General features: G+C 43.8%; 1 long non-coding RNA gene and 2 pseudogenes across 2 annotated transcripts; 2 read left to right on the top strand and 1 right to left on the bottom strand.

Moving 5' to 3' along the window:
- On the bottom strand, positions 358-1261 carry SRP68P2 (signal recognition particle 68 pseudogene 2; annotated as a pseudogene).
- On the top strand, positions 1974-4254 carry FAM106A (family with sequence similarity 106 member A). The gene has a single exon (NR_170998.1). It is a non-coding gene; the product is annotated as a family with sequence similarity 106 member A (long non-coding RNA).
- A 3313-nt stretch (positions 4255-7567) lies between these two features.
- Positions 7568-17558, top strand: USP32P2 (ubiquitin specific peptidase 32 pseudogene 2; annotated as a pseudogene). Its single transcript, NR_003554.1, has 5 exons — positions 7568-9338; positions 11347-11635; positions 13050-13474; positions 14139-14231; positions 15362-17558. The product of NR_003554.1 is annotated as a ubiquitin specific peptidase 32 pseudogene 2 (transcript).
- Positions 17559-24409: the final 6851 nt, after the last annotated feature.

Here is a 24409-nt window from a genome sequence, read left to right as displayed (position 1 = left end):
GGTTATCGTCCAAGGTTTTAATATGTTTTCATTTTAGATTTAAGTTTTTAATCCTGCCTTTGCCTCCCAAAGTGCTGGGATTACAAGCGTGAGCTACCACACCCAGCGAGGAAGCCAAGTTTAACGTGTGTGCTCCACTCCTCCAACCTGGCCAAAGGGCAGTCATCATCACTGGCCACTGCTGACCACAGCCTTTAGAAACTCCCCTTGAACGTGCTGGGCTGACCTTCCTCTGATCACAGGCAAGGTAACCATACACTCAAGGCCAATGATCCCATCTGCTGTGGGCTGGGTCATGCTCCCAATGCTTACAGAACCTGGGAGGCAGAGGAAAACTCTGCCCATCCCATGGGACGTTACCTGTAAGCTTTGAACACCAGAATCTTGAGGCCTATCTCTTTCTGGAAGGCTTTGTCTTCCTCTAAACCAGGAAGCTGGAGCAATTCCACCAGATTCTGTACAACAGATGCAACAAGAAAATTCATGAAGAGTAGATCTTAGGTTGAATTTTTCACAGAAGACCTTGTAAGAACAGACAATGGTGAGAAAAAAAAAGCCCGAGGTCAATACAATGGGGAAAAGCCTGTGAAGTGACCTGGCAGCAGCCACACCTGCTGTCGCCTCCATTCCCCTCTCATCTTGGAAACAGATTTGCCCTTTACAACTCAACTCATAGCTCACCCGCCTTCAGAGACTTCTTGGCCCATCTTAGCTGGAAGGGATCTGTTCCAGCGCTGAGCTTTTATTTTGCTTAGCATCTACTCAGATGCCTTGACTGTGTGTGTCTCACAGTCCTACTGACTGACAAACTCCCTGGGGGCCGAGATGGCATGGATTCAGGTCTCAGATGCTCTATGGCACCTGGGAGCATCTTACACAGGTGAAGTGCTCAGTGATGATCTGAGGTCACTATTCTCTGCAGATCAGCATGTCTGAGAGGTAGGGGCTCACAGACTGTGGAACTGGTGTAAGACCTTTGTCTTTTCCCAGCTACTAACAGGTCCTGCTTGTCACAGCCCTTCCATGATACAAAGTTAAGTCATTTTGTGTCTGACACAGGCAAAGGAAAACGACAGGCCCTTGCCTTCCCGGTCCTCAAGGGTCAGCTGTAAGATGATGTCATAAAGCCAGATCAGGTCCTGGGGCCGGGGGAAGCACTTGCTGTCATCCTCTGGCTGCTGCTGCAGCAGAGCCCTCTGCAGACCTTTGGCCATGCTCTCATTACGCTTGATTGCCATTGACAGCTTGATGTAAGTCAGGTAACTGGAATGCACCACACGTCAGCTCAAGTTATACTCAGAGAAGCAGAGGAACTGGGAGGACTGGACTACGAGTTGGGGCTGACCCAGAGAAAGTGGGGGGGTGCGTTGGGGCAAGGCCACAGCAGGGCCATTTGGCCTGGGCTTCAAGGGACCCTGTAATCCCAACTACTTGGCAGGCTGAGGCAGGAGAATCACTTGAATCCGGGAGGTGGAGGTTTCAGTGAGCCGAGATAGTGCCACTTCACTGCAGCCTGGGCGACGAGTGAAACTCCGTCTCAAAGAAAACTAAAATAGGCTGGGTGCAGTGACTCAAGCCTGTAATCCCAGCACTTTGGGAGGCCGAGATGGGTGGATCACCTGAGGCTGGGAGTTCAAGACCAGCCTGACCAACATGGAGAAACCCCATCTCTACTAAAAATACAAAATTAGCTGGGCGTGGTGGCTCATGCCTGTAATCCCAGCTACTCAGGAGGCTGAGGCAGGAGAATTGCTTGAACCTGAGAGGCGGAGGTTGTAGTGAGCTGGGATTGCTCCATTGCACTCCAGCCTGGGCAACAAGAGCGAACCTCCGTCTCAAAAAATAAATAAATAAATAAAATAAATACATAAAATAAATAAATACATAAATAAAATAGATATGTATTTATGCAAACCATAGAAAAATGTTTGGCAACCATCGCAAGATACCTGACAATGTGAAATAGTTTTATTACAACTGGCCTGACCTTCAAAGGCCTTCACAGCTCCTGCCTTCATGTTACCGTCTACTATGTTCCTCGTGCACCTTCCACTCAGCACAAACAGGCTGCACTGCCTCCGAAACACATCACTTGAATCCTACCTCTGCTCCTTTGTCCATCTGAATCACCCTCTCCACATTTCTGACCGTGTAATCCTGATCTCACTTCATGAGGCAGTTCGCTTCTCTTTTGCATTTAGCTTTCCCCGGGGTACACTGTCAATAGCCTACTGTCTGATGTCATCAGTCAGCACTTCATCAGAGGCAATTATGTCCACAGAGCTTTTGGCTAATTACTGTCACTCCTCTTTACATGTGTGCATATGCATATCATCTTTCCCTAATGAGACTGGAAATCATGATTCATTCCCTGGAGCAGTGGTTTCCATAAGTGACCAACCCACAGACCAGTGCAAACTGGCTGCAAAAGAGCTTCCTCTGAGGAACTTATTAGAATGCAGATTCTTTGACTGCATGGGAGAGGAGGATCTCATAAATCTGGGTGTAATAGGCACAGAACGTTAGGTGTAATATGGGCGGGACTCTGGACTCAGCATATCCAACAAGCTGCTGGCTGATTCCGACGATGCCGATGAATTGCCAGGTTGGGAACTGCTGCCCCCAGAGAACCTAGCAGAGAGCTCTGTACGTGGTAGGTGCTCACTCCCCTATTGTTTGGGTGTATGCCTCCTGATAATGAACTTGATCGTAACTTTATTGTTGTATTATGCCTGTATTGTTTCCTTAAGTGAAGGAAGAATGCTTTTGAGTACCTAATAGGTGGCAAGCTCTGTGCCTACTTACATACATGAACTATTCCTTTTAATAACCTTTGGAAATAAAGTGGCATTTCCATTGGGCATTAGAAATCTGAAGACTTTCGTTTACAGCTGTTGCAACAGCAGAACTAGAATTCGACCTCCGACATTTCTGCTCACCAGAGGGCATGAACTGCTGGTTTGTACCTGGCTTGCAGATACCTTCTTTGGGCAGCACAATGTTCAAAATTAAAAAAACTACCAACACTTCTAAACTGGATACTTTGTATCAATATCTGGGTTTCTGGCTTCTCTTCACGGGAAAAAAACAAACAAACAAAAAGGTTTGGTGAACACTGGGGCCCACATTCCTGCAGGGCAACAGTCACATGGAGACTTTAGATGGGCACGTGCCCAGAACACACTAGAGTCCCCATCGCTCCCCATTCTCTTACATTCTGTTCCCAACTAGGTTCTTATAGGCCTGGGTTTGTGCCTGTTGCACACTTATCTACTCTCTTGCTTCCCACTGGTCAGGAAGTCTGGCAAACTTAAAAGGCCTCTTTTTGTTGCTCTCTTCTGTATGGATCTCTCATCATAGAGGTGTGTGCATTTCTGACTTTGTGATTTCAATACTAAGGAAGCTGTCGGCAGATTATCAAGGAAAACGGGGATCGCTGCTCCCCAACGTACACATTCTGGTGTGCCCCAGTAAAATTCTATATTCAGCCTCCAAACTAGCTGGGAAAAATGTGGCAAATCATCTACTTGCTCCAATTCAATGGTGTTTAGAAGTAGGAAGTCACTGTGAGCAATGCCACCAAGTGGTGGAGAGACTCCATGCAGAATCGCCACCTTCAGCCAGAGAGGCTGGGAGGCCGAAGACCTCTCTCAATGCACAGGGCCATTCAGAAACTAGAAACAAAATGCTTGCTCATCTCCCTAGGCCACTCCTTCCGAGGCTTTTTGAGACGAGGTCTCACTGTCACCCAGGCCGGAGTGCAGTGGCACAATCAAGGCTCACTGCAACCTCAACCTTCTGGGTTCAAGCGATCCTCCCACTTCAGCCTTTCAAGTAGCTGGGATGACTACAGGCATGGGCCACCACAGCCAGCTGATTTTTTTTTTCTTTTTAGTAGAAATGAGGTCTCGCCATATTGCTCAGACTGGTCTTGAACCAACACATCTTTAGCTTTTTAAAAGACAGCCTTGGCCAGCCATGGCAGCTCACACTTGTAATCACTGCACTTTCGGAAGCTGAGGTGGGCAGATAGCTTGAGCCGAGGAGTTCAAGACCAGCCTGGGCAACATGGTGAAACCCCATCTCTACAAAAAATACAAAAATTAGCTGGGTGTGATGGTGCACATCTGTGGTCCCAGCTACTGGGGAGGCTGAGGTGGGAGGATTGCTTGAGCCTGGGAGGTCGAGGCTGCAGTGAGCTGTGATTACCTCACTGCATTCCAGCCTGGGCAACAGAGAACCCTGTCTCTATTTAAAAAAAAAAAAAAAAGAAAGAAACCTAAAAACAGACTGGCACTTAAAAGAGTTGTGCTTCATTTTTTGACTTTCTGTATTAATTTTGTTTGTTCCTTTCCTTAAACAAGCTGCCACTGCTGCTGATTCAACATGTTTCATTTTATACTTTTTTTTTTTTTTGAGACAGAGTTTCGCTCTTGTTGCCCAGGCTGCAGTGCAATGGCGTGATCTCGGCTCACTGCAACCTCTGCCTCCCGGGTTCAAGCAATTCTCCTGCCTCAGCCTCCCAAGTAGCTGGGTTTACAGGCATGCACCACCACACCCGGCTATTTTGTATTTTTAGTAGAGACGGGGTTTCTCCATGTTGGTCAGGCTGGTCTGGAACTCTCAACCTTAGGTGATCTGCCTGCCTTGGCCGTCCAAAGTGCTGGGATTACAGGCGTAAGCCACTGAGCCTGGCCCATTTTATACATTTTTAATGTGTATTCTTGCTTTTGGAAAATGTGACCAGAGGACTATTAAACTCTTTTAGCATCGGTATAGCAAGGAGGTAAAAAAACAAACAACAAAACAAACAAAAAAAACCCTTTTTGTAAAATAGGATTGAGTATCGTTGGATTGAGCACTTACCAAGCAACTGTGCCAGGCATTTGTGTCCTTCATTTAATTCTTACAAGCCTGAGTGTTCGGTATTTTAATTTTATAGGTGAACAAATAGAAGCTGAGGGTGAAGGACCTACAGCTGTCACCTTCATCTCTTCTCAACACTGCCAGCTGTCCCCTTGGATCTCCCAGACAGACAACAGGGTACATCTCTGGTTTCTCGGTGCCCCCTAGAAACCTCGGGTCATTTCAAGGCATTATGCAAATGAGAAGCTTTCCTTCTCTTCACCTCATCTCCTGATCTGCACAAAAGTGACTGTAGGACCCAGTGTTGGTACCGATGTAGGCACCAGTCCTCAGTTTACCACCTGCTCTCTACTTGCTTCCCTGCCATAACTTTCTAAAAGGGATGTGAGCCATGTTTAAAGTCACCTGGTCACTGGAGGGATCTTGTTCTACCCCCTGTAGTAGTACCTCTGTAGGGTAATACCCACTGTAGGAATCTTGTTCTACATCAGTGGTTGCCAACCTTTTTGGCACCAGGGACTGGTGTTGTGGAAGACAATTTTCCACGGACTGGGGGGCTGGGGGGAATGGTTTCAGGATCAAACTGTTCCACCTCAAATCATCAGGCATTAGATTCTCATAAGGAGGGCACAACCTAGATTGCTAGCATGCGCAGTTCACAATAGGGTTCGTTCTCCTGCGAGAATGGCATGCCGCTGCTGATCTAACAGGAGGCAGAGCTCAGGCGGTAATGGGAGCAAGGGGGAGCGGCTATAAATACAGCTCACCGCTCACCTGCTGCTGTGCAGCCCGGTTCCTAACAGGCCATGGACAGTGCTGGTCTGTAGCCCAGGAGTTGGGGAATCCTGCTCTACAGAGTTTCCAACCTCAGAGATGAAGCATCCCCTCTGTAAGTCAGAAAGAAATTATTCAAGTAGGAGAATTAAAACAGGATCACAGAGAGGGAGGCTGAAGAATTTGACTTTCTGTGTTTACTTGTATGAGGAAAAACAGCACATAGAGGCATCCACAGTATTTAATTTGTTTGGATAACAGTTACAGATAAACAGGTACACCCCATATACAATTACCAATACTTTTTATACAGTTCATATTTCAGTACATCAACACTATTTTATTTACACTCTATTTATATACATTAACATCTTTTTAAATTGGGATTATTGTCCATATGCTTTATATTTTTTATTCCAGTGATTTCCCTTTTAGGAATTTATCTGAGGGGAGAATACTCTGTAATTACTCCATAATTTGCAGGCAAATATCATCATAGCATTTTTTAGGAGAGTAAAAAGTTATTAACAACTTATATTTGTCTCACATTAGAGGAATGGTTAAATAAAGCATGGTGTATTCATTGGATAAACTATAATGCAGTTGTTGAAAATGATTACCAGGAGTTTTTGCTAACATTTATGGGAACATGCTTATGATATGTGAACATTTTTTTAAAAACAAGACATAAAGTTGCATATACTGGAAATAATACCTTCAATATTGAAAAAAATACTATTTAGGAAAAAGGACAGAAGAAAATCTGCCAAAATTTTGACAGTGGTTGCCTTTGTATTAAGAATATAAAAGGATTCCATGCCTTTTTACATTTTTCTCTGCTTTCCAAATTTTCCACATGAATATTATACATAGTAATCAGAAAAAAATACAGGGACACTCACTCTTATCCTTTACATTTCTCTCCTGTTTGGACCTCAGATTCCTCAGTAGAAAATTAAACTAGATGCCAGCCTGGGCAATATGATGTCACCCTGTCTTTACAAAAAATGCACAAATTAGCCAGGTGTGGTGTTGTGCACCTATAGTCCCAGCTGCTTGGGAGGCTGAGGTTGGAGGATTGCTTGAGCCCAAGAGATCAAGGCGGCAGTGAGCTGTGATCTCGCCACTGCACTCCAGCCTGGGTAACAAAGCAAGACCCTGTCTCAAAACAAAAAAAAGAAAAAAAAAGAAAAAAAGAAAATTAAACTAGACAAATTCTTAGGCCTCTCTCTTTTTTTTTTTAATAGTCTTATATGAAGACTATTACTTCATTTCCTGTGTTTTGTGTTAAGATGAGCTTTAAAGCAACTCTGAAAAAGAAGAGGGTGCCTATAAGTAATTCATAGACTGTTTAAACAATAGTAGAGGATCTAAGCATAGATCCCAAGAGGTAAAGGGAATCTTTATCACTTTGGGAACTTTTACTGATAAATAGAAATTACTGTCAGTACAGTCCACAAATATGTTGTTTATCAGCCATCTTTCCTCCCTGTCTTCATCTAGCACTGTAGCCTGTGTTCCACAGAAAATATAGTCAATAAAATTCAACATTCTTTACTAGCTTACTCTAATTTGTGGTTGGCCATAAAGTATTCCTGGTAGAGATAATAGAGATAATATTTAACTGGCCATGAGAAAGGAAACACTATCGTATATGATACACCCCTTTTTCTACTCATTCCAACAACGATGATACAGCACGTTTCCTTTTGAAGCACGTGTTTTTTCCTTGAGTGACCAGTTCAAAAGATGATGACAGTTAATATCTTGTTACTACAGAATTTGTACTCAAAAAAGAAGTCTATAACCCAAGTCCTTTTCTAAAAAAAGAATTTTCCTCTAAGTTCCCCTTTTTAAATGAGCTCTTTAGCCTGGGTAATTATGCAGTGCTAGAACCGTAACTGCATGATCAAACCCAACCTTGCTTGTTTATAACAGCATTTGACAGCCTCGTGACTCTCACATAGGGAAAAAGTCTCGCCTGAAAACCCATGCTAAGCTGCGTGTCTTGAGCTGTGCCAATTTGTATTCCAGGCAGCCTAAGGTTCCCATCGTGAGTTTCAGGAAGGGAAATTCATGGAGGAAGTTCACCTCTGGAAGGGTGAGGAGCAATAAATAGGGTGGGTGATGGACATATGTGACGTTTGCCACAGAGAGGCAGTCAGTATGGGCCTTGTGGTCCGGGCTCTGCTTTGGGACACAAATATAAACTGTGTGAAGTCTTATGGTAGCATTCATAACCCTGATGCTTCACCCACCTTCCCATACATTAGAGGGACAAACAGAAGGATCCCAGCTCTATGGTTCTTGATTGTTTGTCAGGTAGCAGCCAGGCATGGAGAGGGAAAAATTCTTTCTTTTCTGCTGCACTCTAGATCCTTCCTTCTCTCCTCCTTCTTCATTCTACACCACCCCCAACACATATCCCTGCACCCCGCCCATTCTTTGCTCTCTCTCCTTTCTTACACTTAACTCCTTCTTGCTCCACAGCCTAACATGCTGATTAACAGGACCCCAAAGGTTTGGGTGGGTATTAGGGGCCTTCTCAACAAAAGCAGCACACTCTTGAGCTTGTTCTTCCTTTTGTTGCCATCTCAGATAAAAAGGCCCCATGAGGGAGGAGACAGATAAGTATAGACTTGGTATTCTGATAACTCTGTGTTACATGGGATCAGATGTAAATGAGTTGTACCCTGTGGTGTTTCATGCTCTGCTGTGTTGTCTTCTCATGGTGAGCTTTTCTGTGCCCTTATTTCATCCAGCTCTGGTTTCTGTGTTTCATGTTATTTCTCCTAGCCTCTGTAAACTCTGCAGCATACTAATAATGCTCTGGCTTTCTGATTAAAGATAAATGGCTTACTATCATCACCCCTGGCTTGAGGGCCAGCTCACATGTAATCCCTTATAGGATTCCAAAGTTGTTAAATAAATGCAGTTCTTTTTGTCATTTTGAAGCATTCAAAAATTTTTCAAGAAAAGCTATGATCATATAAATAGAAATTTTATCCAGAATGTTACAGTGTAGCATTTGTGAATAAATGTGTAGGTGCTGTATTTGCTCAGACTCTAGTTTGGGTTGTGTTTTCTTTTCCCTTTTTTTTTTTGAGACAGGGTCTCTCTCTGTCATCTGGGCTGCAGTGCAGTGGTATAATCACAGCTCACTGCAACCTCTACTCCCAGGCTCAAGCAATCCTCCTGAGTAGCTGGGACTAGAGACATGCGCCACAACGCCCAGCTAATTTTTAGGTTTTTCTTTCACATAGACAGGGTCTCACTCTGTTGGCCAGGCTGGTTTCGAACTCCTGGACTCAAGCAATTCCCCCCACCTCAGCCTCCTAAAGTGCTGGGATTACAGGCCTGAGCCACCATACCCAGCAAGTTATATTTTCTTTTTCCTTATATAGAGTAAAATAAGGGTGAGTGACCGAGAGGTTGATGCATAGCTAGATCACCAGTTTAAATGCCTTCCCACACACCCCTTTCCTCCTGTTCCCTCCACCTACAGGTTGTAGATGAGCATGAGAGTGTGGAGCAGAGTTGGCGAGTGCAAGTCGAGCCCATCAACCTGGACAGCTGTCTCCGTGCTTTCACCAGTGAGGAAGAGCTAGGGGAAGATGAGATATACTACTGTTCCAAGTGTAAGACCCACTGCTTTAGCAACAAAGAAGCTGGATCTCTGGAGGCTTCCACCCTTCCTGGTATGTTACAGTCCTGCCTCTGAGAGAGCAGGAATCTAGCATAAAAGAAAGAAGACATGAACAAACAGGAGGTTTTGTTATTTTTGAGAATAAGACTTTTCCTGCAGCAGTGTTTAAAACACTTTCTGTACAAGGTTTTTATGTTGAATACAGAGATGAATCTTTCTACAAATATTTGGTAGTTCCTTTTCCTAACGAACTTACAACCTAGAAGAAGAGATCAATCATGTAGACCAGTAACTGCAATTCAGTGTGATCTGAGAACTGCCACAAGGGGTACAACGTGGTGAATTTGAACTTCAGGAGAGGGTGAACTTCTGGCTCTGTGGAGAGAGGAAGCTCAGGCTAGCCCTTTGTGGACTCTAGAAGAGCAACTGAGCCCGGAGCCCCCAACACCCACTGCACATAGTCATGTGGCTGTGGCACGCTGCTGAGTTGAGTGTGTGTGCACAAGCACGCCAGTGCACTAGGGCCTGTGTGTTCTTTTAGATTTAATTTACTTCTGCCTTCTCCCTTCATGGATTAGGAGACTGTCCTTTTGTTTGTCAGGAGAGTTTGAAGTGACAAATCTTCCTATTCATTAAGGTCAGTGTAACTGTAAGGTACTGGCCTATTTTAATCAGATATTTATATGTATTTTCTTTCTTTTTTTTTTTTTTTTTTTTGGAGACAGGGTCTCACTGTGTCACCCAGGCTGTAGTGCAGCGTTGTAATCTCAGCTCACCGCAACATCCACCTTTTGGGCTCAAGTGATTCTCTTGCCTCAGTCTCCTGAGTAGCTGAGATTACAGGCATGCACCACTACCACCTGGCTAATTTTTGTACTTTTAGTAGAGATGGGGTTTCACCATGTTGGCCAGGCTGGTCTCGAATTCCTGACCTCAGGTGATCCGCCCACCTTGGTCTCCCAAAGTGCTGGAATTACAGGCATGAGCCACCATGCCCAGCCGTATTTTCTTATTCTAATTATGTCTCTGTCACACTACTCTGTGAAGCTGAATGTAGGTTTTTCTTAGACCAGAAAAGCTTCCCAGGGAATGATGCACAAGAAATTAATAACACTGGTTGTCAGCTAGCTCCACAGATAGGAACTAGAGGGAAGGGGCAGGCTTGGGGACAAGGTGGGTGGGGAGGAGGGGGAGACGTTTTTTTTTTTTTTTTTGAGATGGAATCTCGCTCTGTCACCCAGGCTGGAGTGCAGTGGCAAGATCTCAGTTCACTGCAAACCTCACCTCCCAGGTTCACACCATTCTCCTGCCTTAGCCTCCCGAGTAGCTGGGACTACAGGTGCCTACCACCATGCCTGACTAATTTTTTGTGTGTTTTTTTATTTATTTTTTTTAGTAGAGACGAGGATTCACTGTGTTAGCCAGGATGGTCTCAATCTCCTGACCTCGTGATCCACCCACCTCGGCCTCCCAAAGTGTGGGGATTACAGGTGTGAGCCACCATGCCTGGCCGAGGGGGAGACCTTTTAAAAAAAATTGAGGTATAATTAACATACAATTAAAAGCATAGATTTTTAGTATCCAGTTTGATGAATTTTAACAAGTATATATTTTCATATAATCATCAAATAAAACAAGCAGAGCAGTCATGTAGCCCAGTAACTGCAATTCAGTGTGATGTGAGAACTGCCACAAGGGGTACAACGTGGTGAATTTGAACTTCAGGAGAGGGTGAACTTCTGGCTCTGTGGAGAGTGGAAGCTCAGGCTAGCCCTTTGTGGACTCTAGAAGAGCAACTGAGCCTGGAGGCAGTACCCACTGCGCAGTCACGTGGCTGTGCCACGCTGCTGAGTTGAGTGTGTGCACAAGCACACCAGTGCACTGGGGCCTGTGTAGAGGCCTTTAGGAAACCATATTTTTGAAGTCTTTAAAAAATAATGAAGAGTAAATGTTCTGTTATATATTCCCAAACATTCACATGTATTTGACTTGTTTTTTCCATGTAAATTTTGTATCTTCAGAACGCTTTAATGTGATGTTTTCTACCTTTACTTCTCCAGATTATTCACCTTAAGCGATTTCAATTTGTAAATGATCAGTGGATAAAATCACAGAAAATTGTCAAATTTCCTCGGGAAAGTTTTGATCCGAGTGCTTTTTTGGTACCACGAGACCCGGCTCTCTGCCAGCATCAACCACTCACACCCCAGGGGGATGAGCTCTCCAAGCCCAGGATTCTGGCAAGAGAGGTGAAGAAAGTGGATGTGCAGAGTTTGGCTGGGGAAGAGGACATGCTCCTGAGCAAAAGCCCATCCTCACTCAGCGCTAACATCAGCAGCAGCCCAAAAGGTGAGGCCTGGGGGCCTTATGCAGTTGCTTTCTTGGGACTCCTGTAGGCTACATATGTTTCTCTGTCTTCTGTTCTGGAACATCAGGTTGGTTGGGTGGAAGGAACCTATCTGGAATCAGACCTATCTGTATTTGAGCTATGTAAGTTTTATCAAGAGATTCAGCCTCCCTGAATCTATTTTCTCATCTGTAAAATGGAGATAATGCCAGGTTTACAGAGTTGAGAGTTTGACACATGGAGAGTAAAGCACTTCACACAGTGCCTGATGTATGGTAAACAGGAATGGTAGCTGCTGTCTTGTCCCCTTATAGTGAAAGTTCTGAGGTTCCCCATCTTTCAGGGGGTCTAGAGGATCAAAACTCTTTATTTATTTATTTTATTTTTTATTTTTTTGAGACAGGTTCTCACTCTGTCACCCAGGCTGGAGTGCAGTGGTGCAACACAGATCACAGCTCACTGCAGCCTCGACCTCCTGGGGTCAATCAATCCTCCCACCTCAGCCTCCTGAGTAGCTGGGACTACAGGCATGCACCACTGCACCTGGCTAATTTTTGTATTTTTTGTAGAGATTGTGCTTTGCCATGTTTCCCAGGCTGGGCTCGAACTCCTGCACCCAAGTGAACCTCCTGCTTCGGCCTCCTAAACTGCTGGGATTACAGGTGTGAGCCACTGTGCCTGGCCCAAAACTATTTTAATAAAAATACTAGACAATATGTGCCTTTTCACTTTTATTCTCTCACATATGTACAATGGTGTAAGAGACAACTTGACATGGAATAATATCGTCACTTTGACAGTGAAGTCTGTGCTAATGTATTGTACTTTTTCATGCCTCAGTTTTAGTTTCTAATACAGGAAATATTGATAGATAAAATTCACATAAAAGTTCTAAAGGTTCTCAATAATTTTTAAAGGTATAAAAGGGGGTAGGGGTAAGAGGCTATAACCAAAAAGTTTAAAGCCTTACAGGATTTTTGTGAGACATAGAGGTAACAATGGACAGCAAGAAATTCCCAGTACCATGCCTAACAATAGGAAGTACTCAGTAAATGGTGGTCGCATTTTTTGTCTAATTTTACAAAGGAGAGGAATATGTATTTGGAAAACTCCTTACTCTTAATAATTAGATTTTTTTCAACTGAATCTGACATAAATCATCTTTCTGCTATTTTCTGAGTCCCTATAACCTACCTTACATTTTCAGGACATTGTTGCTTATAGGGACTCGGCATTGAAGAAGACAAAAATGTAACTTACCTGCTACATAATAGGAACTAAAGGGTAGCCAGTCACGACTCCCCTGTCTTTACCTTTGTGTGTACAGTTGTGAAGCTAACCTCAGAGTTAGCATTTGGGGCTGGCTTACTTTGTGGCATTTGGATTTGTGAATCTTTTCTTCTGTCCTGTTCACAGGTTCTCCTTCTTCATCAAGAAAAAGTGGAACCAGCTGTCCCTCCAGCAAAAACAGCAGCCCTAATAGCTGCCCACGGACTTTGGGGAGGAGCAAAGGGAGGCTCCGGCTGCCCCAGATTGGCAGCAAAAATAAACTGTCAAGTAGTAAGAAGAACTTGGATGCCAGCAAAGAGAATGGGGCTGGGCAGATCTGTGAGCTGGCTGATGCCTTGAGCTGAGGGCATATGCGGGGGGGCAGCCAACCAGAGCTGGTCACTCCTCAGGACCACGAGGTAGCTTTGGGCAATGGATTCCTTTATGAGCATGAAGCATATGGCAATGGCTACAGCAATGGTCAGCTTGGAAACCACAGTGAAGAAGACAGCACTGATGACCAAAGAGAAGACACTCATATTAAGCCTATTTATAATCTATATGCAATTTCAGTAAGTGGTTTATTGTATGGTTTTCGGAGAGTGGTCTGTGTTTTGTTCACTTGTCTTCATGTATTCATCAGCAAGTATTTTTCAGGTCCTGCTTATTTCCTAGCATTGAGCTTAGTGATAGAGAAAGTTAACGTAGAAATCTGGGCCTGCCCAGGTGTGGTGGCTCACACCTGTAATCCCAGCACTTTAGAAGGCTGAGGCAGGAGGATCGCTTGAGCCCAGGAGTTTGAGACCAGCCTGGGCCCCATCTCTACAAATAATTTTAAAATGGAGCGAGGTATGGTGGCATTGCCTGTGGTCCCAGCTACTTGGAAGGCTGAGGCAGAAGGATCACCTGAACCCAGGAGGCCAAGTCTTTAGAGAGTTGTGATCACTTGACTGCACCCCAGCCTGGGTGATAGAGCAAGCCCCTGTCTCAAAATAATAATAATAATAGTAATTACATTATAAAATGATTGTTTATCCACACAAGACTTGGAGCTTATGACTTTTGTATTTTGCTTTTTGCTTATTTTGGTTTTAGAGAAAGTTAGAGGGTTCTAAAATATTTTCTCACCTACTGATCATTTACATGATCACTGTTCTCCTGCTCAGATCCTAGTGCTATACCCTGGCCATAGTACAGTTAACTACTAACATACATCCACTCTCTTATCTCTTACAGTGCCATTCAGGAATTCTGAGTGGGGGCCATTACGTCACTTATGCCAAAAACCCAAACTGCAAGTGGTACTGCTACAATGGCAGCATCTGTGAGGTAAACATTCTCAATCTTTGAATGAAAGTTAGAAACAGAATATCAACAGAACTGGAGAACATTTGTTGAAATAATGGACTATCTCTTGAATAGGAAATAGATATTTCTGTTAGAATCAATATATAGATGCTGTCAGTATTAAAGAAACAAAAGTGATATGCAGAGTAGGGAATGAAAACATGAGTAGTGAGGAAAAATAAAGAGTTAGTTGACCGGGCGCAGTGGCTCATGCCTGTAATCCCAGCACTTTGGGAGGCTGAGGCAGGCTTAGGAGGTGGATCACTTGATGTCAGGAGTTAAAGACCAGACTGGCCAACATGGCGAAACCCCATCTCTGCTAAAAATACAAAAATTAGTTGGGCATGTTGGCACATGCCTGTAATCCCAGCTACTCAGGAGGCTGAGGCAGGAGAATGGCTTGAACCTGGGAGGTGGAGGTTGCAGTGAGCCAAGACTGCACCACTGCACTCCAGCCTGGGCAACAGAGCAAGACTCTGTCTCAAAAAAAAAAAAAAAAGGAGTTAGTTAATGCAAAAAGCTCCTATCTTCTGGACTGTTAGAATTTGATGGGGTTGGGCCAAGTGCAGTGGCTCACGCCTGTAATCCCAGCACTTTGGGAGGCCAAGGTGGGCAGATGATGAAGTCAGGAGATCGAGACCATCCTGGCTAATATGGTGAAAGCCCAACTCTACTAAAAATACAAAAAATTAGCCAGGCGTGGTGGCACATGCCTGTAGTCCCAGCTACTCAGGAGGCTGAGGCAGGAGAATCACTTGAACCCAGGAGGCAGAGGTTGCAGTGAGCTGAGATCGTGCCAGTGCACACCAGCCTGGTGACAGAGCAAGACTCCATCTCAAAAAAATAAATAAATACAAAATAAATAAATAGAATTTGATGGGGTTTTAGGTCATTCTGTTTTGACTTGTCTATGGTCAAAATATTTTCTCCAAAGCAAACATTGGAAATAATGGGGCTCATTTTAAAGGGGCAGGTGTGAGACAGCCAAACTAGTGAGCTTATTGGAAGCAATCAGGTTTAGTAATTACAGACGGTTGGTCTTCCCTTTCCTGGCAAGGATTTAGAGCCATAATAGTGATGGCTTTTTGTTAAAGGTTTTTCTTGCCCTTCAGGAACATCACCCTGATGAAATTGACACCGACTCTGCCTACATTCTTTTCTATGAGCAGCAGAGGATAGACTACGCACAATTTCTGCCAAAGATTGATGGCAAAAAGATGGCAGACACAAGCAGTATGGATGAAGACTTTGAGTCTGATTACGAAAAGTACTGTGTGTTACAGTAAAGCTACCACTCTGGCTGCTAGATAGCTTGGTGGGGAGGGAGATGACTCCTTGTAGCTGATACTTGGCAAAAGTGTCACTGAGAGGCAAGCTAAATGTAGTTATTTTATCCTGTTAGAATACAAATTCTAATTAAAATAGTTAACTTTAAGAGTAGTAGTAATTTTATTTTGAAGTCTCATGCAAGTTGTCTGATAGAGAACTTTCAGGCAGATCCCACCATTAGCCTGTAAACAAAAAGTTTGGCACCAGCCACCTGGGACCAAATAAGAATTCAATTGTGCTTGTCCAGATATGAACAAATATGTAGTGAGTATAGAGTTTATCAATAATCATAACAAATATTAAAGATTTCCTTGGAGTCAAAGTAAAAAACAAAAAATTGTAATGTTGTCTAGGGATGACATGATATGCTACCTCCTTTTTCCTGAAGTTTTATTCCATTCTGTTGACAAGATGGAGAAAGCAAGATCATGAAGGTGTGCAAATGATTCTTACGGCATGGGCGAGGATTTTTCAATTTATTTTTTAAAGTTTCCATACCCTTTCTTTGTCTTTCTTGCTTTTTGTTTTTGCCGTTGTGTTTATGTTTGAGATACAACCAGTCATTGGTGGCAGGGGCATAGAGTGGTCAGTCTGAAAGGGAGGCTCTCTTAAGAGCTATGTGCCTTCCACCCAGAGGGAGACCCAGTAGAAAGAAAAACATCCTGGGAAATCCAGCTACCATGGCCCTCCCAGTGGAGGCATCTTACATTTAGGATACTTCAGGTATCCTCAGAAATGTATTCTGCACCCCCCGGCCCCGCCCATGCTGAGGGAAGGGGAGCAGTTGCCAATATTTGCACCATCTTCACATGCACATGTTGCAACAAGAGCTTCTGGGAAGGTAAGCGGCATCGGAGCTAGATCACGTTTCACAATTAGTGGTGGTTCTTTTCCATGTTTGTTTTGCACTTTAAAAAAGAGAGAACACATGCAAATGAACTTGCTTGTGTGTATTTGATGGCTCCAAGGGCTATAAATTACAAACAAAACACATCCCAGACATTAGGAGTTCATAAGTATATTTAATGAAATTGGTGGTTTTAGGAAGTCAACTTTAGTTTTGCTTTGTTTGCATGTCCACTAATTTTTTTATTTTGATATTAGTCTTTTTTAAAAAATTTTACAGTAGTCATTGAAAGTTATGTTTCTTTGTTTACTTCATTTTTTCCTCTAAATATTCAAGACTGGGACAAAAGTATAAATATTATTTATTTCAGGTAGAATTTTTTTGGTGTAGTTTTTTAATATATACTTGAAGGAAATGTTTCACCTTATTTTTGGTCTTTGTTTATTCATTTAGACCCTGCAAGTTGATTCTCATTAATTGTCAGATTCCACTACACTTTCTTCCTCATAGGTAGTAATTACCAGTGTAACTAAGCATTTGTGTTCTGATATCTGAGGCCAGTAACTATTAATATCTAGTTCTCAGAGCATTTGGAAAGGTTATCTTAAATGGCTACCTAAATTGAAATCCTTTTCAGAAAAAATATAATTGCAAATAGGTAGGAGTGGCCTAAATTATCTAATGTAATAAAGTCAGACAAAATGCATACTTTATAGTTCAAGATTTTCGGTATATAAAATCTGTCCTTTCCTACCTGGACATGTCCCATTAAAAAGTGGAAGATTTTAAATAATTTCTTTACAGATGTTTTATTTAAGCAGGTAGCACAATCTACTAATGTTGTTTGATCTGTGTTTGTTATACTGGTTGTAATTAATTTTTTTAATTCATGAACTAGCGGAAAATTTATTAAATTAACTATTAACCACATTCACCTTGTAAATGACTGTATAAAACTTGTTGACAATGCACTGACTTTAGAAAGATGTTAATGTGCATAAATAGAGTGTAAATAAAATAGTGTTGATGTACTGAAATATGAACTGTATAAAAAGTATTAGTAATTGTATATGGGGTGTACCTGTTTATCTGTAACTGTTATCCAAACAAATTAAATACTGTGGATGCCTTTATGTACTGTTTTTCCTCATACAAGTAAACACAGAAAGTCAAATTCTTCAGCCTCCCTCTCTGTGATCCTGTTTTAATTCTCCTACTTGAATAATTTCTTTCTGACTTACAGAGGGGATGCTTCATCTCTGAGGTTGGAAACTCTGTAGAGCAGGATTCCCCAACTCCTGGGCTACAGACCAGCACCGTCCATGGCCTGTTAGGAACCGGGCTGCACAGCAGCAGGTGAGCGGTGAGCTGTATTTATAGCCGCTCCCCCTTGCTCCCATTACCGCCTGAGCTCTGCCTCCTGTTAGATCAGCAGCGGCATGCCATTCTCGCAGGAGAACGAACCCTATTGTGAACTGCGCATGCTAGCAATCTAGGTTGTGCCCTCCTTATGAGAATCTAATGCCTGATGATTTGAGGTGGAACAGTTTGATCCTGAAACCATTCCCCCCAGCCCCCCAGTCCGTGGAAAATTGTCTTCCACAACACCAGTCCCGGGGGATGGTGAGCAGAGCGGTGCAATGGCCTGATCTACCAGGTAAAGGCTCCCTCTCGATCAGGATTTCTCAACCCGGCACTAGTGACACTTGGGGCAGGATCATTCCTTGTTACGGAGACTGTCCTATGCAGTGTGGGATGTTCAGCAGCACCCCCGACCTCTGCCTACAAGACGCCAGGAAGGACCCTCTGTCTAAGTCGTGACAAAGAAAAACATCCCCAGACCCTGCCAAATGTAACCTGGGGGGCAAAAACACCCACATTTGAGAACCATGGTTCTAGGATATAGGAGTGTGGACACAGGCAGCTCAGGTTTACACAGGCTGGATTTGAGGTGCCTGGGAGACCTGCTTGCTGAGATTCTTTTGAGCAGTCAGACAGGAGGGGCTGGAGCCCAGGAGAAAAGTCTGGGCAGCTTTGCTGTCTTCAGGCTCGGTGGCTGTTAGAAGGAATGTGGCAGAAAAAAAGAAAGCGATACCCAAAGAGTCTATTTCATTTAATTTAATTTTTTGAGCATGGATTATGCTAAAGTCACCAGGCAAGAGACCAAGATGAGCCCACCTCACAAACCCAGAAACCGCAGATCCAAGGCAGCTGTATAAGGTACAGTTCGTTCCGGACTGTAGAAGAGAGGGTTAATCCAACTTCATCAGGAGAGAAATGCCATTATCCACTGAACTATTTCTTGGCTATCTCCTGTATGCTGGTCAGTTTCACTCACATTGTCTCATTTAATCTTTGACAAACTAAATAAAAGTGTGAAGTAAATATTTTCCCCTCCCTTTTTTTTAAAGATTAGAAAACAGAGGCTCAAAAGGACCCACATACTCAGAGTCACCCTGTCAATGACAGAGGTGGAGTTTGAACACAGGCTGTTTAATGCCAAAGCCCAATACTGGCTTCTGGAAGCTTCTAGAAGGAGGGGCTGGAACTTCGCATTGAAGACGTTGAGGGGCAGTGTTGCAGGAAAATGGGAGAGGGAAACATACCAGGCAAAGGGAACTGCTTGGGCATGGCTTCGGCAGAGAACGAGGTGCAGAGATTTGAGAACAGGATGATTTCTTGGAACACAGAGCTTGGTTCAGTAGAAAGAGCCCAGGAAAGCCAGGATGTGGCCAGTTGAAAGGGAGGGGCTTTGAGCCATTTTGCATTTGTGGTGAGCCATTTTGCATTTTACTCTATTGGCATCAAGGAGACAAGTAATGAGAACTCTGACTTGGGAAAAATGTTAAGGATCAATTTATCTCAAATATCACATGTAGCTCTTAAGTCTGAGGGCCCTCTATTCCTCATCTTACCTAAAAGGCACAAACACACCTCTCCAAGTCAGGTATAGGGCCCCCAACAATAGTTGCCTGGTCAAAAAATGTATCCTCAGAGTTTACTACTACTACAGTAAATCTGGACACAGTTTCTGAAAATTTTTGTTTCCCTAAAAGTTTCCATCAAACTATATTCACTGACATGTAATGATAATCATCAAGACTAAATCACATCCCAGGAGGTATCTGAATGCAACCGTGAGGTGCTCCTTCATATCCGAAGATGCATTTATAACAATCTGGAAAACAGTCTAGATCTTCTTGGAAGTTAGACCTTCAACTTTATCTGAATTTTGATGATAAATGAAGAGCTCTTCTTGTGCAGTTTCTGAGGTTCTTCAAAAGAGTGACTGTTTCTCTGTTTCCCCAGAAAAATACTACAATATGTGGTGTGTGTGTGTGTAGGTGCCTGTGCACATGTGTGGGTGTGTGTGAATTTGCCTATATGTGTTTGTGGATGGAGTAGGTATACATGCTGTGAGTGTGTGTGTGGATGTGCATTGTGAGTCTGGGTGGGAGATCGTGAGTGCATGTGAGTGTGTGTGGATGGAGTAGGTATACATGCCTGTGAATGTGTGTGTGGATGCGGATGTGTGAGTGTGGGTGGGAGATTGTGTGTGGATGCATGTGAGTGTGTGTGTGGATGGAATAGGTATACATGCTGTGTGAGTGTGGGTGGGAGTTTGTGAGTGCATGTGAGTCAGTGTGTGTGGCGAGTGTATGGAAGTGGGTAGCCCATGCATAGAGCATTTCTTAGCCTACTTGACAGCTTAGGAGCCACCTCCTCCAGGAAGCCTTCCTTAATCTGTCCTTCGTCCTGCCCTTCGGGACCCAGGTGACACCAAGTATGCAATTGCTCTATCCCTGCAGGCCTGCCCCTCACTCATCTCATCCCCAAACACAGACACATGCAAGAAATGTGACCCTCCCTTCCCAATACAACACTAGGACATTTGATTCCCTTTGTATTCCCAGTACCTAGTGCAATGTCTGGTACACGGTAGGTCATCAGTAAATAATAAATTGAATTAAACCTTCCAAAGGCCTCCAAATATCAGAATTAGTAAGCTCTAAAGGCTTTGTTTATTCCTGCAGATTCCTTCTCAGGTTTCAGCAGGTCATAGAGAACATCTCTTCCACCAGTCCTAGTCTCAATGGGACAGTAAATGAAACAGAAATACCACCATCCCATACCCTCCCCTTCAGTCCCTCTAAAATGAGCTGCCGCTGCTGGGGGAACCAGAGCTAAGCTTCTGCAGAGGCCTCTGCCCATGTCACCCCAGCTCCGCAGTCCTACCTGGCATGAGTCTTCCTATAACTATACCTAGGCTTCCTGACTGCTCTGTGGGGACACCCAGCCTCATTGCACCACAGGATGCGGCAGTCAGAGCAGGGCTTCTTACACTTTAACATGCATATGATCACCTGGTTAGCATGTGGATTCTGATCCAGTAGGTCTGGGATGAGGCCTGAGATTCTGCACATCTAACACGCTCCCAGGTCCTGCTCATGTTGCTGGCCTGTGGCCCATCCTTCCACCAGAAGCGTTTAGAAGGCTTTAGTCTCCTCGCAGCTGTTCAAGAGACCGGTGCGGTGCAATCGGGTGCTGAGTCATTTGGTCACTGCCGCTTCTTGTTAAGTCAACTTCTATCATTTCACATGCATAGAAGTTTTGACAAGCCCTTGAGTCTTTTGTTTCTTTCTGTACGCCAGTAAAAAAGAAAGAACAAGCCAGGCACGGTGGCTCATGCCTGTAATCCCAGCACTTTGGGAGGCTGAGGCAGGCAGACCACGAGGTCAGGAGATCGAGACCATCCTGGCTAACACAGTGAAACCCCGTCTCTACTAAAAAGACAAAAAATTAGCTGGACGCACCTGTAGTCCCAGCTACTTGGGAGACTGAGGTGGGAGAATCGCTTGAACCCAGGAGGTGGAGGTGCAGTGAGCCGAGATCGTGCCACTGCACTCCAGTCTAGGTGACAGAGCGAGACTCCATCTCAACAACAACAACAACAAAAGACAACCAAAACCAAAAAAAAACAAAAAACAAAAAACCAATCCTATACTCATTGCTCCCAGTCCACTAAAGCAGAAAGAAAACTGGACTGGGCGTTAGGTGACATGAACCCCAGTCCCAGCTCCGCAGGCCTCCAAGGCTCTCTGGCCTCTGTTTCCTTTCCTATAAAATGGGGTAACATAGTGGCTGGCCTGGTTATTTCAAGAAGAGAGTGTGAGATTGCAGAGAGAGGGTGGGCTTTCTGGTGTCAGAACAAGTTTCTAATGAGGAAAAATGACTTGCCTTCTTGGAGCCTCACTGTCTTCATCTGTTAAGTTACAGGGGAAAAGAAAATATGGGATATGTAAGTGTGCAATGCCTGTCAGCTGCCAGAAGTGCAGCAAATGTTAAATCCCTTCTCTGCTCAAAAGGCTATGATGGAAATTCAAAAGCCCCTTCTCAGTAAGGCCCTCTGGACACCCAATCTGAAATGTCGGGCCCCTCCCCCTTTTCTCTTTATTGCGGATCACTGTCTAACATTTGACTTCTTTATCTGGCTTATCGTCTCTCCCTCAGCGAAGGGCTATGCCATGAGGCCGGGAATTTGTGTCCGGATGGCTCACTAATGTATCTGTGGTGCCTAGACCAGCGCCTGGGACATGAATCTTTGTCGAGTGCATGGACCAGCAGTGCTTTAGATATTATGCTATTGCGTTATCAGAATCCATTTCTTCCACACCTCTGAAGCCAGAATAATGCACGTGGAGAGGTTTTAAAGCTGTGGAAAAGCAGAGCCCTAGAAGAAAACAGCCCAGGCTGAGACTTTGGGGACAACAGGAGACAGAAGAATACTTGATGATTTCATAGTGGGAGGCATGGAGAATTAACGTAGTCAAGAGCTGCGAGGCAATAAGAGGAGACTCTTGGGCAGCCCTCAAATAGAATATTATTCCTCCTCCTCTCTCCACCTTACCCCAGGTACAAGAGATGAATCCTGTTCCCCCATAAGCCAGCTGATTCCATGACACAGCAGTCCATGCAGTCCCCAAAATTTATCCCAACTGCCTTCCTCATGCTCAGCTTCCAGGCTGCTCATTTCCTTGGCTTATTCACCCTGCATCAGTTTCTAGTGTGGCCCAGTCTCCAGGATCAACACAGTCAGTTTGGGATTCTCTATTCAAGCTCTGATATTGATTTCATATTCGCCCTCTGGCTTCAGGCACTCACTTGGGTCAGGGGCACCCTACAGTCTGAGCCCCTTTCGGGGAGAGAGTGGAACAGAACATGGGTTTGAGGTCAGGTGGCTCTGGGTTCTGACCCTGAGTCCTTGAATCACTAGGTTTTGCTATCTTGGTCAATTTACCTGACCTCAGCTTTCCTATTTGTGAGATACAAAGAGAAATATTATATTGTAAGCTTGTTGTCAGCAGTGATTCTCAAAGTTTGGTCTTTGGAACATCAATCCTATGAGATGGAAAAGGTTTTTATTATCAAGTGAGTTTGGCAAATGCTCAATATCATATCCTCATCTTGGGAATTCTCAAATAACAAAAGAATGGGTTCCACTTTCATTAACTCAGTTTTTCTAAACAACAAAATTCCTTTTTGCAAGGAATACCTGTTAGCATCCTGTAGAACCAATGTTTTGTGTAATCCATGGTGGGGAAAGCTGCTTGGGAAGATCAGAAATGCTCAACACCAGGCCCTCTGCTCGGCTCCTGGCACATGCATCGTGGACACCAGGAAGCATGAGTGCCTGTTGCATTTCTTCCTAATGTCAGGTATGTTTGGTCAAACCTTTCCTGCTTCTGCTACAAAAAAAAGCATTTTAGGGTGTTGAGACAAGTAGTTTTCCCAAATATTTTTTGAGCCCTTCTCGTGAAAGGGAAATAACACAAACTGAAGTTAATGACATCTGTACTTTGGAGCCTCGCTCTGTCGCCCAGGCTGGAGTGCAGTGGCACGATCTCGGCTCACTGAAAGCACTGCCTCCCGGGTTCAAGAGATTCTCCTGATTCAGCCTCCCAAGTAGCTGAGACTGCAGGCACGCATCACCATGCCCAGTTAACTTTTATGTTTTCTTAGTAGAGATGGGTTTTTATCATGTTGGCCAGGCTGGTCTTGAACTCCTTACCTCAAGTGATCCACCCACCTCGGCCTCCCAAAGTGCGGGGATTACAGTCATGAGCCACCATGCCCAGCCCACATCTGTACTTTTAAAGCTAAAATATGAGCACTCATGAGCCTAGCTGTGAAGAACAGTCACTCTTGGATTTCTGGGAAGTGACTACTCAGACCTGCACCAACAGGAGTTGGTGAAGTTGGGTAACTTGCCCAATGTAGCAGAGTCTGAGCTCTTTCTAGTGACAACACCACCCCACACACAAATTAGGGTATGTCCCATCATGTAGGTCCAGGGGATCTGAATACCTTCATGTTTCATCCTTCTAAAAAAAAAGTCCAGCAATATGTATCCTAAAAGCCTTACAAAATCTTCCCATTTGGGGATGCCACTTCTGAAATTACTATAAGGAAACCATCTAAAATAAAGACAAAGAGCTGTGCATAAAAATATTCAGGCCAGGTGCCGTGGCTCACACTTGTAATTCCAGTGCTTTGGGAGGATGAGGGAAGAAGATTGCTTGAACCCAGGAATTTGAGGCTACGGTGAGCTATGATCACATGATTGCATTCCAGCCCGGGCAACAGAGTGAGACTTGTCTATTAAACAAACAAACAAACAAACAAACAAAAATGTATTCATCACAACATGATAATAGGCAGAACCAGAAACAACCCAACATTTGGAGAATAGTTAAATGTCCAACAGCTAGGGAATGATTAAATCCATTATGAGGCTTCTCTACATTAAATATCTTACAGCCATTTATAACCATGTTTATAAAGAATTTTGAATGATATGGAACATGCTTATACTATGAGGTTAAGGAAATAAAACAGGCTACAAAAATAAAATATATGTACTATAATAACAGCTATGTTGGTGCACAGAGAGAAAAACATTTACCAATATATTAGGAGTGGTTAT

This window comes from Homo sapiens, chromosome 17, assembly GCF_000001405.40.
Source record: "Homo sapiens chromosome 17, GRCh38.p14 Primary Assembly".
In the NCBI taxonomy this organism is placed as follows: Eukaryota; Metazoa; Chordata; class Mammalia; order Primates; family Hominidae; genus Homo; species Homo sapiens.
Note: the sequence above shows the minus strand (reverse complement) of the source record. Positions and strands in the feature narration are given on the sequence as shown.